General features: G+C 47.6%; 1 protein-coding gene across 3 annotated transcripts in view, besides 1 other annotated feature; it reads right to left on the bottom strand.

Moving 5' to 3' along the window:
• Nucleotides 4,015-4,565: an enhancer, noted in NCBI's record as "H3K4me1 hESC enhancer chr4:8355016-8355566 (GRCh37/hg19 assembly coordinates)". NCBI's record gives its function as "activates a minimal SCP1, AML or CMV promoter by ChIP-STARR-seq in primed H9 embryonic stem cells {active_cell/tissue: H9 hESC(primed)}" and the evidence as "EXISTENCE:reporter gene assay evidence [ECO:0000049][PMID:30033119]".
• Nucleotides 6,031-16,058, bottom strand: part of ACOX3 (acyl-CoA oxidase 3, pristanoyl) — an 85,419-nt gene continuing 75,391 nt past the window's right edge. For 2 of the 3 annotated variants that reach the window (XR_007057969.1, XR_007057968.1), the window contains exon 19: nucleotides 6,031-15,474. The gene's annotated coding sequence lies outside the window, so the exon portion shown is untranslated. The remainder of the gene's footprint in view (nucleotides 15,475-16,058) is intronic. The other variant, XR_007057970.1, reaches the window with a different exon arrangement.

A 16,058-nucleotide genomic window follows, 5' to 3' on the forward strand; every position in this document is an offset into this window, starting at 1 on the left:
AGTGATTTGTCTGCCTCAGCCTCCCGAGTAGCTGGGATTACAAGCATGTGCCACCGTGCCAGGCTAATTTTGTATTTTTAGTAGAGATGGGGTTTATCCATGTTGGTCAGGCTGGTCACAAACTCCCTACCTCAGGTGATCCACCCACCTTGGCCTCCCAAAGTGCTGGGATGACAGGCGTGAGCCACCGCGCCCGGCCTAATCACCTCTTAAAAAGCCCTGTCTTGGCCAGGCGTGGTGGCTCACGCCTATAATCCCAGCACTTTGGGAGGTAGAGGTGGGCGGATCACGAGGTCAGGAGATAGAGACCATCCTGGCTAACATGGTGAAACCCTGTCCCTACTAAAAATACAAAAAAAATAGCGAGGCGTGGTGGCACACACCTATAGTTCCAGCTACTCGGGAGGCTGAGGTAGGAGAATCCCTTGAACCTAGGAGGCAGAGGTTGCAGTGAGCCAAGATCGCACCACTGCACTCCTGGAGGTTAGGGCTTCAACATACAAATTGTAGGGGGATGCAACTGAACCTGTAACACCTTGTGTGGTCATCACTCCAGGGAAGGATGTAAAGAGCTAGGACTCCCACAGCATTGTGTTTGCAAAGGAAGACCCGGGACCTTCAAGGTCTTTGTTGCTGACCTCCTCTCCCTCAGGAAAGGCAGAGGGTCATCTCCTCCCTGGAGTGGCTTCTCCCATGCTGACCTCACTTCTGGGAGGGGCCAGGAGGAACCTGCCTGCGTTTCTGAAGCCCAGCTCTAGCACATTTCACCCAGAGGCCAGGATCCCATGCAGAATGCCAGAGGCTGAGGGCAGCGGGCCGACCTCCCTTGGCAGTTTCAGAGTCTTTCTTCAGTGCTCTGTTATTTTATACAGGATTCCTATATGCGAAAAGAAATGCATACCTTACAAAATTCCTCAGTTACTGTAATTGGCAAGTAAGGATCTCTGGAAAGAGCATTTGCTCATTTAATAGGACTGGAAGGGAGCCGCAGCTTTTTAAATTTTTTTTCCTGGTGATGGTTTTTAAAGAATTTAAAATGCAATGATATTGCAAGGAAGAGTGGACTTTTCCCTGGTTGGCAGACTCCATCTAGCCATGGCATACTGCAGCAAGATTTCTGCGGCTGCCCACACGTCCTGCCTGGTGTAGAGGTGGTTCCGTCCAAGCTCCTCGGCTCACCACTGACCTCAGCTGAGCCCCTCACGCGCGGGTCCTACGAGAGGCACAGCAAGGAGACACCCGTCCCTGGTCAGGGGAACAGAGGGGAGCCGGCCCCTCATGCACAGCCCATAGTTGGGGGACAGCAGAGCCCATGTCTCCTGTGGGGAGGGCAGAGACCCACACTGGTTGGAGTGGCGAGGCCATGCCTGGAAGTCCGGCACTGGCGCACTGGCCAGCATGGCCCCCTTCCTGCTTCACCATCTAGACCTGCCCAATTCATTCCTTTAATTCATTAACTCACTTCTTCATTCACTCACTTCACTTGTTCATCATTCCCCCATTCCACTCCAGGGCTTGCTGAGTGCTTTCCCAGTGTTTGTGTGCGGCCCTGTGCTGGGAGCTGGAGACAGGGACCCTCCAGACCTGGGTCCTGGGCTCCACGAGCTTCCAGGCCGCTGAGAGGAGTGGCCAGGCCCAGTCAGTGCTGTCCTGAGGGCTGGGGCTGCTGCAGCCAATGGTGACAGAGGCCCACCAAGTGATTCCTTCTGGAGAACAGGCCATGGCTGGGTCGGAAGGTGACAGGCTCCTGTGACCCTGACGCCAGGGGAAACTCGAGTCTTGCCGCCTATACTATGTTCACATCCACACAGAGGCTGCTGGTCAGGGACGTGGGGAAGGGTGGGGAGGGCACAGAGGGGGAGCGCCTCCCAGCCGTCCTGGGTTGGGAAGGGCTAGATGGCCAGGTGTGTAGGGGTGGTGCTCACACAGATACAAAGGCCAGGCTCCGCAGGGGCCAGGCCTTCTGTGCAGGACTGGGATGCGCAGACAAGGGTCCGCCCAGAGCTCACACTGTGGCTACCCTAGATCCTGAGAAAGCCCCACACTGAGGAGGGAGAACCGGAAGCCGAGAGCAGAGCCGGCCTGGGCACACACGGGCAAGGACACAGAGAACACAGGGCGGGACTGTTGTCCTCACCTCAGCAGCTTCACCAGCGCACGGATGGCCCCTCCCCTGCCCCCAGGGACACTGACCACCCCCCTTTCCTCCTCAGAATTCAGGCCCAGTGAATAGGCAGAGGTCCTGAGACTGTGGCCATCAGAAATGTCTAAGGGTACAAGAAGGAGTACAGTTTCCTGGGCCCAGCTCCTAGGGTCCAGTCTAGCCACAGCCCCTCTGTGTGCTCAGGACTGTTAGAGACTTTCACATATATTATCTCAGCCTATGCTTAGGACTCTGGAAGGCAGGTAGTTCTACAACCTTTACATAGGAGGAAACCAATTTGGAAAGGTTAAGAAACATTCCCAATGTGCCACTTCACAGCAAATGACAAAGTTAAGATTTGAACCTGGGCCTAACTCCCAAGCCTGTCTGCTTTATACGCTCCTGTGCCATGTCCCGAAGGCTGGCAGAAAAGACATCGACCAGGGTCTTTAAGGATGATGACGTAGGAAAATCTTCCTAAAAAATTATTTTGTTTTTAGAAGCCTTGCTCTGAAGCAAAGAAAAAAACAATTCAAGAGATGTCAAGAATTTTTGGCAAACAAATAATGCATCGAAGAACAAACACCCAGGGAGGACGCGTGGGCAGCTGTTCTTGGGTTGTTTTCATTCCCCAAGTGCTCGGCCCTGTAAGACTAGATGTGTATTTTCTCTTGCAAAGCAAACAGTTCAGCACAATGTGGGCCTCCTTGCTTGAAAGAATTCAGATGGAGCTTGTGAACCACATAAAAGGTTGAGCAAACCTTGTTCCAAACTCAGTGCAGTGGCTGGGCACAGAGCCGCCCGGGACTGAGCAAACCTCCTCGTCTATCTCCTAGGCAAGGGTGTACATGGAGGGGGTGAATGGAGGAAGGTCCTTCCACAAGTCACTGCACATTTTCCCTTCACAACACAACACGGGGCTCCCACTGACCACTGCAGAGCTGGGGACATCCTCCTCCAAGCTTCACAAAGCAAACCAAGTCCCTTCCTGGGCGGCTGCTGGACAGCCTGGTGGGATGGAAATGAGCTGAGGTCAGTCCCTGCACTTGAATGGGTGCAGGTGGGTGGGGCCTTCCTGGAAGCCACAGGAACACCGGTTTCTGGGTTCTCATGCAGAGTGGCCCTGACTTCCCAGATTTAGGATCAAAGCCCAGAGCCCAAGGGAAACCCTCTGATGTAAGCTGCATGACAGCAAGTGGCCCCAGAGGGGAATGCAAAGGCGAGAGTGCCGGGGACCACGGCACAGCACATGCGGCACAGGCCCGCCCAGGCCAGAGACTGAGCGCATCTTCCCCTCCTCACATGGAGAGTAGAGGCTCCGGCAGGGCCACAGCCCCCCAGCTGGGTTCTTCTGCACGTGCCTGTGGGGCCAAGCAGTCCCCACCGTGGCCAATGCTGGGGCTCCGTGCAAGAAGTCTGTCGCACCCTGCCCAGCTGCCTCGAGCAATTAGGAGGCGGCTCCCACACCAGGAAGGCCACCTCCAAGGTTCCTAGGTCTGGTCCAGAGAGACAGGATGCTCACAGGCAGGCAGCAAGTCCAAACAGAAGCCTGGGCTCCACTCGAGCCATGGCCCCAGGGCTCAGGAGAGCCACCCAGGGTGGACGGAGTCGCATCTGTGCATGCCCACCTTGCACTGCAGAGGGACCCAAAAGTGCTCTGCCCTGGTTTTTATACCCTGGGCACCACTGGGCTCACCGAGCAGACGTGTTGCAGAGTATCCTATCTGGGAGGACCAAGGCCACACCCTGGGCTGTTCGGGTCATTTCCTCCTTTTTCCAGGGTGTTGCATTCGGTCAGTTCTGCAGGAGAACTGCAAGCCAGAGAGGGAAGAGTTGTCGTCCATCCAGGGCCCTGTCCTCCTGCAGTCACGGCCTGTAGTTGTGCTTCCACTGTGGTCCGTGATTCCCATGGCATGCCCCACTCCATAGGGTGGCTTTGGTCTCATCGTGGTGGCACCATGGCTGAGGCCACCTGAAGCTCCTAAGTGTCCAGGGCAATGTCCCCCGGAAGTGAGAGGCCACTTCTGTCCCAACGTCCCCAGCCAGTCTTTAAGACTCAACAGGACCCTTGGACTTTGCCTCATCACTGAGCCAGTCCTTGGGGCCAAGGGAATGGAAGGTGCTAGGGCACTTCAGCTAAGGCGAACCAGTGCCAGTGCTGGGGCAGGGCAGCTTCCCAAGGCTTGGGGCTGTCCACATCTGGGGAGAAATCTGGACAGAACTGGGGTTCTGTTAGTGAGGAGGAAGGGTTGGAAGTTGGACAGGAAGCCCACAGGGTCCACCACACAAGGAGAGAAGCCAAGACCCCCTGACTTCCAGGGGACCCATGGCTGGGGCATGCTTCAGATGGGGACACGGCCCCATGGGACCCATGAAAAGCCTGTGAAGTGTCTTAGTAAAAGGCCCACATGAACAAAGTCAAGGAGGAAGGCAGTTTCTGGTGACGAGGAGGTGGTCCTATGGCACATGCTGTCCCCACACAGTGCTACGTGTAGCTAGGTGTTCACTAAATGCTGGTCAGATGGACACTCCCTGCTGGCCGGCAGCCCAGGGGCTGGAACCACCTAAAACCTGGAGGGTGGGGTGGATACACAATGATGGGGGAACGTGATTCACGCTTGGGCTGAGCCGTCAGAAGTGCATCCAAACCAAGTTTCCAAGAGGCTGCTCCATGTCAACTACACATCCTAAAATGAAAGAGTTCCCACGCCTCCGCCACCATCAAGATCCTTAGCAGTGACAGCCGCAAAGACCTCAACCCCAAGATATTTCTGGGCTTTCACAGATGATGGGGTCTGGCTGATTTTTATCTTCTTCATCCGCCTGTGGTTTTGAGATGTCTCTGCAGGCATGCATCCCAGCTGGCCCCGTGTAGCCGCAGGAAGCTCCCTCTGTGTTTAAGCTCACAGTGAGAAACTTCTCTCATTCTGCAGGCATCTCCCTTGGTGAGTCACAGAGATTTCTGGCCACGGGCACAACCATGGGCACACACTTGTGTCCACTGCCAAGCAAGACTGTCTTTCCAGTCCACCGTCCACATGGCATCAAACTAATACGAAGGCTGAAGGCATTCCCATAATGGCAGACACCAAGCAATGGTTCCCCAGCATGGTGTGAAAGATTGATCCCGCAGGGCCAGCAGATGTCATTAGACAGGAAAGTTAAATGACGGGTAAAAGTTTTGGAAGGTGTATTAGTCCGTTCTCACGCTACTATAAAGAACTGCCCAAGACTGGGTAGTTTATAAAGGAAAGAGGTTTAATTGACTCACAGTTTAGCATGGCTGGGGAGGCCTCAGGAAACTTACAGTCATGGCGGAAGGGGAAGGAAACACGTCCGTTTTCACATGACGGCAGGAAGGAGAAGTGCCAATTAAAAGGAGGAATGCCCCTTATAAAACCATCAGATCTCATGAGAACTCACTCACCATCACAAGAACAGCATGGAGGTAACTACCCCGTGATTCAATTACCTCCCACCAGGTCCCTTCCATGACTCGTGGGGATTATGGGAACTACAGTTCAAGATGAGATTTGGGTGGGGACACAGCCAAACTATATCAGAAGGGTAAGGGTAAACCATCACTATTTGCCAATGATAGAGAAGGAAAACCAAAGAGAATCAATGAAAAACTGTCATAATTAAAATAAGGTTTCAATAAGGTGACCAAAATAAACATACAAAAATCACACAGCTTTTTATTACAAACAGCTTGAAGAAATAGTCTTAGATGGGAAGACCACTTACCATGAAGACAAAGATTCTCCTGATGTGAATCTAAAAGTTAAACAAAACCTCCAGACAAACTCCAGAGAGCATTCTTTAATATGGGGGTGGGAGAATGCCCAGACTTGACAAATAACACCAAAGTTCACATACATAAGACATTTTTGGAAAAGATGAGAAACGAGGCTTTATTTGCTCCAACAGATATTAAAAGTATGAGAACCACAACCATGAAAACAACAGAAGCTGATGTGAGAAACAACACTAAAATTAAACAGTGCAGACACAGGTCCAGCGACAATGATTTTAGCACTCATACAGGTGGCATTTCGGTCAGTGCATGATGATTCAGTGGGCAAAGCATTTCAGATCCTTGTCTCATATCACACCTCGAAATACATTCCTGGTCAATTAAACACTGAAACGTACTCAGAGAAAAAGAGATGAAAGTGTAAATAATCTTTGTGTGAGAAAGGACTTTCCAAGCATGACCTCAAAGGCTAGAGCATAAGAGTCTTCGTTTTAAAATGTGCAGGCATTTCTGATTTAAAAATGTAAACTATAGCAGGTTACATCAAAAAGGAAAAAAATACAGTTAAATGGCAAATGATGCATGAGGAATAATGATTTACAGTGAATATGTTACAGGTTTGCTGTGCTTAATATGTACAAATATCTTACAAGCCAACAAAATATTTTCAAAACTAAATGCCTTCTTAGATAGAGAACAAGAATGGGCAGTTATCACAGCAGAACATATATGAACAGACTTCAAGCACGGGGGAAGGTATGTTCAGCCACAGTAGGGGCAATAAGAAGGAAATCTATACAGAAGACACCAATTTTATGTTCTCATCAGGTCGGCAACAGGCAGAGAACAAACAGGCCACTGCTGGCAAGACTCCTACATTCTAGAGGGAATGAGGGCTTCCTGTTGAACATGCTGGGAAGAGGAGACTTACCATGTGCTGTCTGCAGGCCGGGCTTTGTTGCTTTCATGCATTAACCCGTTTTAACGCCAACAACAGCAGGATGAGGAAGATTCTCTTATTCATTTCATCAGTGAGGGAAGTCCCACATCCAATAGACAGTGTAGCTGGTGTCCATCCAGGAGCCTGCCCTAGACTCTGCTCCCTCATCCCCACTTGTGGCTCTACCTGCCCCACTGCCTCCCACACTGCTGGTATAAGAAATCTCCCCTGTGCAGAGCATGTCTCAGCAAGCCACTGGGACCAACTCACGCACAGTGATGCATGTGCACGGATGGCTGCCACGGAGCAGAAGCCTTGATCTCTCCATCTCTCAGGAGGAAGTTTGCTAAACTTGTACATTCATGTTACTTGACTGGGAAAATGGCTGTGCCATCACTTTAAGTGGAAAAAGATGTCCACAGAGTATGACCCATTTCTGAAAGGAAAACCACACACACGTACACAGAGGAAGAAAGTGTGCAGAATGGTGTACGCTAACATGATCCCGGCAGGTGAGAGGAAGAAAGTGTGCAGAATGGGGAACACTAACCTGTTCCTGGCAGGTGAGGGGAAGCAAGTATGCAGAACTGTGCACGCTAACATGATCCCAGCAGGCGAGAGGAAGAAAGTGTGCAGAATGGTGCACGCCAACATGATCCCAGCAGGTGACAGGAAGAAAGTGAGCAGAATGGTGCATGCTAAGATGATCCCAGCAGGTGAGAGGAAGAAAGTGTGCAGAACGGTGCACACTAACATGATCCCAGCAGGGGAGAGGAAGAAAGTGTGCAGAACAGTGCACACTAACATGATCCCAGCAGGCGAGAAGAAGAAGGTGAAGTGAGCAGAATGGTGCATGCTAAGATGACCCTGGCAGATGAGGGGAAGGAAGTGTGCAGAATGGTGCATGCTAACGTGATCCCGGCAGGTGAGAGGAAGAAAGTGTGGAGAACGGTGCACGCTTACATGATCCTGGCAGGTGAGAGGAAGAAAGTGAGCAGAATGGTGCATGCTAAGATGATCCCGGCAGGTGAGGGGAAGAAAGTGAGCAGAACGGTGCATGCTAACATGAAGCCAGCAGGTGAGGGAAAGGAGAACAGTGCACACTAACACGTTCCCAGCAGCTGAGAGAAAAGTGGACACCAGGGCCAGGAGACGGGGGCCCTCGAGGGGAATGCAGGGAGGACTCTGGGGCAGGGGCAAATCACTGTCAATGTTCAGCTTCAGTGCTGGGTGCAGGAACACTGGCATGAACCAAGGAGTACAATGAATCAAATTCTGGGCCCCTGTGGCCCAAAAGTAAATCAATTAAATTGGAGGGGCAACTATTTCTCCATGTGGAGTTATAAGTGATATCTATTTTCATCTTTAAAGTTTTCTACATTACCAAAATAGTACCTAATAATCACGTTAGTTTTACAATCAGAAAACGGTGGCAGCAAGCAATGACATTAAACTGAACATTTTTATTCCAATTATTCAAGTTTTTGCTGCACAGTATTTTCAAATGTTTTATTTTCAAAATGACTATTACAAAAAATGTAGTTTCCAGAATGTCATGGCTACACCTCAACCTACTCCACTCTTGCAGTGGGGGCAACAGCTTTAGGAGCAGGGACCGTGTGTGGGGGCTGCACCCTTGCAGTGCGTGGCCTGGACACGGCCCAAGCCCTCCGCCGCCCACAGACAACACTTTCACATTGATAAATATGCATGCCCATCAAATCCTGCTGTAAACCAAAACTAAAATTCTAAGTCCCCCAGCCAACTGAGTGCATCCCCTTGCAGCCACCGGGACCCAAAGAAACCTGAAAAACCAGTTCAGGCCATGAATGGGAAGGAGGGCTCGGGATGCCCCATTATACCTGCCCCGCTCTGGAATTTAGACACAACTGACCAACATTAAAATAAAAACAGAGATCCTAGACTGACAAAACAGACTCTCTGTAGCAATAAGATACCCAATTCAACGGGACTCCGGTATAGCATCACATGACACATAGTAGCCCCGAAGGAATCAAAGTATTTTACCTCAAAATATATTTCCTTGACATATGTTGAAATGGCCCTTGCAAAGCTGTCTCTCATGGGGGAAATGTGCATTCTGCAGAGAATCTGCTTCCCTTATTAGGCTTTTTCTGGAGACTCTGACACCTTTTAAGGGCCTATAAGAGACATGCACATCTATTCTCTCTGAAGCCTGCCATCCGGAGGCTTCATCAACATAACAAAAACCTTGGCTTCCACAACCACCCCCGCCCCCACCTTAACTCAAGCTGAGTTCAACTTTTTAGACAAAGCTTAACTCTTTCAACCCATTGCCAATCAGGAAATTTTTGAATCTACCTGTCAGAGACGTGTGAACCAGAGCAACTCCATCTTGAATATGAGCTGGGTAAAATGAGGCTGAGACCTACTGGGCTGCATTCCCCGATGGTTAGGTAGTCTAAGTCACAGGATGAGATAGGAGGTCAGCACAAGATACAGGTCTTAAAGACCTTGCTGATAAAACAGGCTGCAATAAGGAAGCTGGCTAAATCCCACCAAAACCAAGATGGCCACAAGAGTGACCTCTGGTCATCCTCACTGCTACACTCCCACCAGCACCATGACAGTTTGCAGGTGCCATGGCAACGTCAGGATGCTACCCTATATGGTCTAAAAAGGGGAGACATGAATAATCCACACCCTGATTAGCATATCATCAAGAAATAACCATAAAAATGGGCAACCAGCAGCCCTCAGGGCTGCTTTGTCTATGGGTAGCCCTTTTTTTATTCCTTTACTTTCTTAATAAATTTGCTTTCACTTCATGAACTTGCACTGAATTCTTTCTTGCGTGAGATCCAAGAACCCTCTCTCGGGGTCTGGATTGGGACCCCTTTCCTGTAACATCTTTCTGGTGACCATGGAAAGAACCATAGTGTGGAAACCCTTGACTCAAAGGTTTACTTTGGTTAAGTGATGGGGTCCTGTAACATCTTTCTGGCGACCACAGAAGTGACTATAGTGTGGAAACCCCAGACCCAAAGAGTAACTTTGGGTAAGTGGTAGGGTCTGGTAACGTCTTTCTGGTGAATCATGGAAGGGACGATACTGAGGAGACCCCTCAACCCAAAAGAAGTAGACTGCACCACTGGTTGGCCGACTTTGAATAAGTGGTGGGGTACCTGGGTAAAGGATGGGATTGGGTTAGAGGCCCAACGTAGGGGAGTTAGAGTCTGTCCTAAGACACAGTGGGTTAGAGGCCCCTCTTAAGGAAAGGTAAGGACGCTTGCTCAACCTTGGGTTAGAGGCCCAACTCAGGAGGGTTAGAGTCCCTTCTCAGATTTAGGGGGTTAGAGGCCCCTCTCAGTAAGGTCCCTCTCAGTAAAGTCGCTTCTGGCTAAGAGCAGGTTTGGCACTATGGGATGTTAACTGCTATTCTCTTGGGATTAATCTGCCTTGCACTCTTTGCTGATGGCTGTGAGTGACAGAATTAGCCACGTACAGGATTGTAGGACTTGGGGAGTTTTTTCCTCCTTAAACGGGGAAACTTGGGAGCTGACGGGACTGCTGGAAAAGATCCCTTCATGACTGACAAGCAGCCACCTAAACTTTTCAGTGTTGCTGCAATGGATGGGTCTTTCTCTGACCTCCCTGAGCGCCTCGCCTTCCCCATCCTGCCTCAGGCAATGCTTTTCTCTCTCTGTGCAAACTGGTTGAATAAATTGTAAAAAATAATTGTTTATCTCCTGTAAAGTTTTGATTAATGGAATAAAGGATTTGTGAGGCTAGTCTTAAGCTGTAGCCAACCAGGTCTGGTGTGCTTTCTGTGTCTTTCTGTATTGCTCTGTCATAAAGAGGAGTACCTTAGGATAGAGCACGGACTTAGGACACCTTTAAGCCTGCTTTTCAAGACAGCTCAGCAAACTGGTCAATTACAAACTTTGCTGCAGGTCCCTCAAAAAACTGGATGAGGTTTCCTTCTTGTCTTCTATGTTCTTGGGAGCTTGACCTTGTAACCATGTGGCCATGCTTTCTCTTTTCACAATGGTGGCCCAGGTTCAGGGTTCAATTCCTGGCTTGGAAAATAAGTTCTTTATCTTCTATGTATTTATATGTATTATGTGTGTGATGTTTATGAATGAAAGAGCTTTAACTAATTGGTTTAAAAATAAGTGCTTAAATATTTTGTCAGAAAAGTAAAAAGTGTAATGCCTTTTAGTTCATGTGACTGAAGTAATCTTTGGGAAATAAGGAGTTTTAAAGATTATTGGCAAAATAAAAATATCTTCAAACATGTAAACATTTGGTCTAAATTATGCAGGTGAGATATTAAGTTTGCTAAATGCTTTAAGGTCATAAACTGCTTCTTTGACTTTTTTTTTTTTTTTTTGAGACAGAGTTTTACTCTGTTGCCCAGGCTGGAGGGCAGTGGTGCGATCTCGGCTCATTGCAAGCTCCGCCTCCTGGGTTCATGCCATTCTCCTGCCTCAGCCTCCCGAGTAGGTGGGACTACAGGCACCCGCCACCACGCCTGGCTAATTTTTTTGTATTTTTAGTAGATACAGGGTTTCACTGTGTTAGCCAGGATGGTCTCAATCTCCTGACCTTGTGATCCACCTGCCTTGGCCTCCCAAAGTGCTGGGATTACAAGGGTGAGCCACTGCGCCCAACCTGACTTTTAAAAATTATTCAGTTTCCTACTCTGGAGCATTAGATTCTAGATAAGGCCAGGGACATGTGGAGTTAGCCACGCCCCTAGCTATGCTGGAGTCAGCCCCCTTATCTGCACTTCTGCCTGGTGTGTCCTAGGCTAAATTCCACACCTGGTACACAATTAGAATCCCCAACTTACCAAGGTTTTCACCAAGAGTAAAAGTCACTAACAATTAACATCGTCACATGTAATTAAGACTGCTAAAAAAAACAGTTTTACATGCAAGATGTGTAAGAAAAGTGAAATGTGTCTTTTGGTAAAAGATTATAAGAACACATGGAAATGTGGATTTTTCTTACCTAGATTAAAGAGTTAAAGAATTGTTTTAGGCCGGGCGCGGTGGCTCACGCCCGTAATCCCAGCAGTTTGGGAGGCCGAGGTGGGCGGATCATGAAGTCAGGAGATCAAGACCATCCTGGCTAACACGGTGAAACCCAGTCTCTACTAAAAATGCAAAAAAAAATTAGCCAGGCGTGGTTGTGGGCGCCTGTAGTCCCAGCTACTCAGGAGGCTGAGGCAGGACAAAGGCGTGAACCCAGGAGGCGGAGCTCGCAGTGAGCTGAGATCATGCCACTGCACTCCAGCCTGGGTGACAGAGGGAGACTCTATCTCAAAAAAAAAAAAAAAAAAAAAAAAAAAAAAAAGGATTGTTTTAAATTAGAATCAAGCTGAAGGTTTACGCAAGTTGTGGAAGGCTTGTTATAAGTTAATCTTGTAAAAAAATTCTGGGTGTGAACAAATGGGCTAAAGTTAAAGGGGTATTATTCAGTTTTTCTGTAAACTGAACATGGGAATAAAAGCATAACAGGTTTTTTCTTCGAGCAAAAACCTGCCTATGACCTGCTCTTTAATAAAAATGTGTAAAGGGTTATCAAAGGCTTATGAGAAACTTACCTTATGGCCAAACTGATTAAGTTTGAACACATTTGTCTATAAGATTTCATTAAGAATTAATTGGCTTTGACATCAACAGTGCACTAATGCAAGAGTGACGTTTGGCTTATTTGGTACAAAAATTGCTCAGGAAGCATTATCAAATGTGAAATGGTGTTTGGTTTTCTTTGGGCTGTTATTTGTATAAATGTGTTATTGGTATATGTTCCAAAAGTATGGGAAAATCCTCTAATTCTAATGTGACTTACTGTATGTTATTAATAATTATAATTGTTACATAAAATCATTGCATGCCACAAAGGTAACCAAATTTCATGTTTTTGATTGTGGCTGCCCTAAAATATTTTGTTATCCACAGACAATTGTTATCTTGTTTTAATCCTTTTTAGAAGGTGGTTTATAACCAACTATGGAGCTCTCACAGGGGTTCTTAAACGCAGGTTTTTAATAACTTTGGAAATTGTGATATTAGAATGGAGGAAAAACTTTCAGAACTCTCATAGAGAGCTGAAATGTTCATGAATATCAAGCAAAACAGGAGTTAACTAAATTAACTGAACCAATAAAAAACTGAAGTAATGTTTTTAACTTTACTTAAAATGTTGCTGATCCTTTGTTTCGTTTCTCAGAGTCAAGGAAACTTTTCTTTTGAGCTATGTACAGCTTTTAGCAATTGAGTAAAATATACTCCTGTGAACAAAATTTGGAGCATATTTCTCTGTTTTCTCCAGAATTTGGAAACTATTTGTGAGTATTCTTAATTTAATGGCAATATAGTTATTTGCATAAGTGCAATAAACATCTGATTTCTTTTGTAACAGGAGACAATTGGAAAAACTGGTTATTTTACCAAGGCTTTAACTGGAATGGGATGCTTTGCATTAAGGAATCAAACTTGACTTGTAAAGCCAATAAAAGCCCCTTGGCGAAATGCCTCATACCTTGTCTTCACAGTCCCTGTATGGGGTTCCTGACCTGTGGTAAATGAAGAATGTCACTTTCTGACAGGTCCAGTAGCCCCAAGCTATCTTGAGGCTCAAGAGGAGAGGAATTTACTCAACTCATAGGTATTTGAGGGTACAAACCCATGGCAGGGCCTGGCTCTAAAAAAGTCTTATCTGAGATTCCTTCTATGGAACACAGTTCCATCAAAGCCAATTTAAAAAGAGCTTATGTGAAAAATAATTATTCTTGCTGTACTTTATACAAACAATCAGGCCAAGTATAATAAAATCAGTCTTACCAAGATTTGTTTTTAGTAAAAATGGAAAATGGGAAACTAGAGAGAGAAATTATGTTTCAAGAACTATGGTACACTTCTTAAATTCTAGTTTCATTGTTGTTTTTAAGTTTGTTTCTGCAATTTAGGCTAACCCTGCTTATTCCTGTGAACCAACCAGTGATCTCTGGCTGCTGCTCAGAAGAAACAAGAGGGATGGATAATGTAAACATCTGGATCAGTATTCTAATTCTGGGCACATTAGAATCAGCTAACAGCCCCATGTCAGCTTAGTTCCAACATGCCCAGTTCATGGAAAGCCTTCTAATTTAGTTCACTTGGGATAGCTTTGCTTATTCTGTTATATTGCTGTTGTACTCTTTGTGTAGGAATATAGGACAAGCTTACTGAATGTTTTCTTAAACACTTAATAATCTTTCATATATCACCTTTTGTGAGAACTCAAGAGTTATGAATGGCTCTCACCATTCCAAGGCTTTCTGGCTGAGCTCTTCTCTACCCTGAACAGAAGAGACCTTAATAGGCAGGAGTATCATGGACCCTATTCACCCTGAAGAAGTTACAGAAGATGGATCTTCATCCCTCTGCAACCCTTAGGATTAAAGGTTGTCTTATAAAAGGGAGGGGAGCAATGTCAGAGGCATGTGAACCAGAGCAACTCCATCTTGAATAGGAGCTGGGTAAAATGAGGCTGAGACCTACTGGGCTGCATTCCCAGACACTTAAGGCATTAAGTCACAGGATGAGATGAGGTCGGCACAGGATGCAGGTCATAAAGACCTTGCTGATAAAATGGGTGGCAGTAAGGAAGTCGGCTAAAACCCACCAAAACCAAGATGGCCATGAGAGTAACCTCTCGTTGTCCTCACTGCTACACTCCCACCAGCGCCATGACAGTTTACAAATGCCATGGCAACGTCAGGAAGTTACCCTACAAGGTCTAAAACAGGGAGGCACGAATCCACCCTTTGATTATTATATCACCAAGAAATAACCATAAAAATGGGCAACCAGCAGCCCTTGGGGCTGCTGTATGGAGTAGCCATTCTTCTATTCCTTTACTTTCTTAATAAACTTGCTTTCACTTTACTCTATGGATTCACCCTGAATTCTTTCTTGCATGAGATCCAAGAACCCTCTCTTGGGGTCCAGATGGGGTCCCTTTTCCTGTAACACACCTATACCTAGAAGCCTGTTTTCAGACCTTTCTGGGCTGAACCAATGTGCACTCTCCATGTACTGACTGACCTCTCTGCCTCTAACTTCTGTCCCCTTAAAATGTATAAAATCAGGCTGTAACCCAGCAATCTTAGGCAGCTATTCTCAGGACCTCCCAGGGCTGTGTCACAGGTCATAGTCTTCACATTTGGCTCAGAATAAACCTCTTCAAATATTTCACAGAGCTTGGCTTTTTGTCAACACTGCCAGTAAAGTGTGCCAGCTCCCACAGTTGGCGAATGAGGACCTTTCCAACAGGTGGATATGAAAATGCAAACCACATGGTGACATTGTGGCATCGCAAAGCTCTCCTGCATGAGAACCCGTCGTGTCTGACATGGTGACATCGTGGCATCGCAAAGCTCTCCTGCACGAGAACCCGTTGTGTCTGACATGGTGACATCATGGCCACAGGCATCGCAGAGCTCTCCTGCACGAGAACCTGTCGTGTCTGACATGGTGACATCGTGACATCACAAAGCTCTCCTGCATGAGAACCCGTCATATATGACACCGAAGTCAAATGTGTTTTTTTCTGTAAACCTTGAACATACCCTTGACCTTGAACAACTTCTGTGACCTGCTGGTAGAAAAACAGGTAGTTTCAGACCAAAGGCTGGACGAGACCACAAACCAAGGTCCCAAGTGATAAAAAAGGCAAAACATGAAAACCCCTCCGGAGATGCCCAAAGCTGTTACTTGGGAGACAAGGACAGCTGGGGCCTGCTCTGGAGGGTGGTGAGGCAGGAGTGACCGTGACTCTAACTCAGGCTGGCCACCACCTAGAATCTAGCTGCGGGCACATCAGAGGACTTGGGAGCCTGTTCCTTCTCGCTTAGAAAAGCTACAGGTCTAGGTAAAGGAGCCGTCCACACACACACGGCCTGAGGCATCCTATGAGGGGGACCCCTGGTGGAAATCTGCATGACCCCAGTTGACAGCCCACGCAGGCCCAACTGCTCTTGGGCTGGGACCCCCAGGCAGTGGGGCTGGGGACCCCGGGCCCGTGAGGCCTGTGGGTGGCAGCCTCAGTGGGGAATGAGCCCCTCCGACACTGGCAGGCACCACTGACGTGTTCTCTGGGTTTGTACTCGGAACTGCTCCATCTAATTCGCAAGGGCCTGAGCACTCTCATTCCCATTCTCTCTGAAAGCAGGAAGAGTATCA

Source organism: Homo sapiens, chromosome 4, assembly GCF_000001405.40.
Source record: "Homo sapiens chromosome 4, GRCh38.p14 Primary Assembly".
Taxonomy (NCBI): Eukaryota; Metazoa; Chordata; class Mammalia; order Primates; family Hominidae; genus Homo; species Homo sapiens.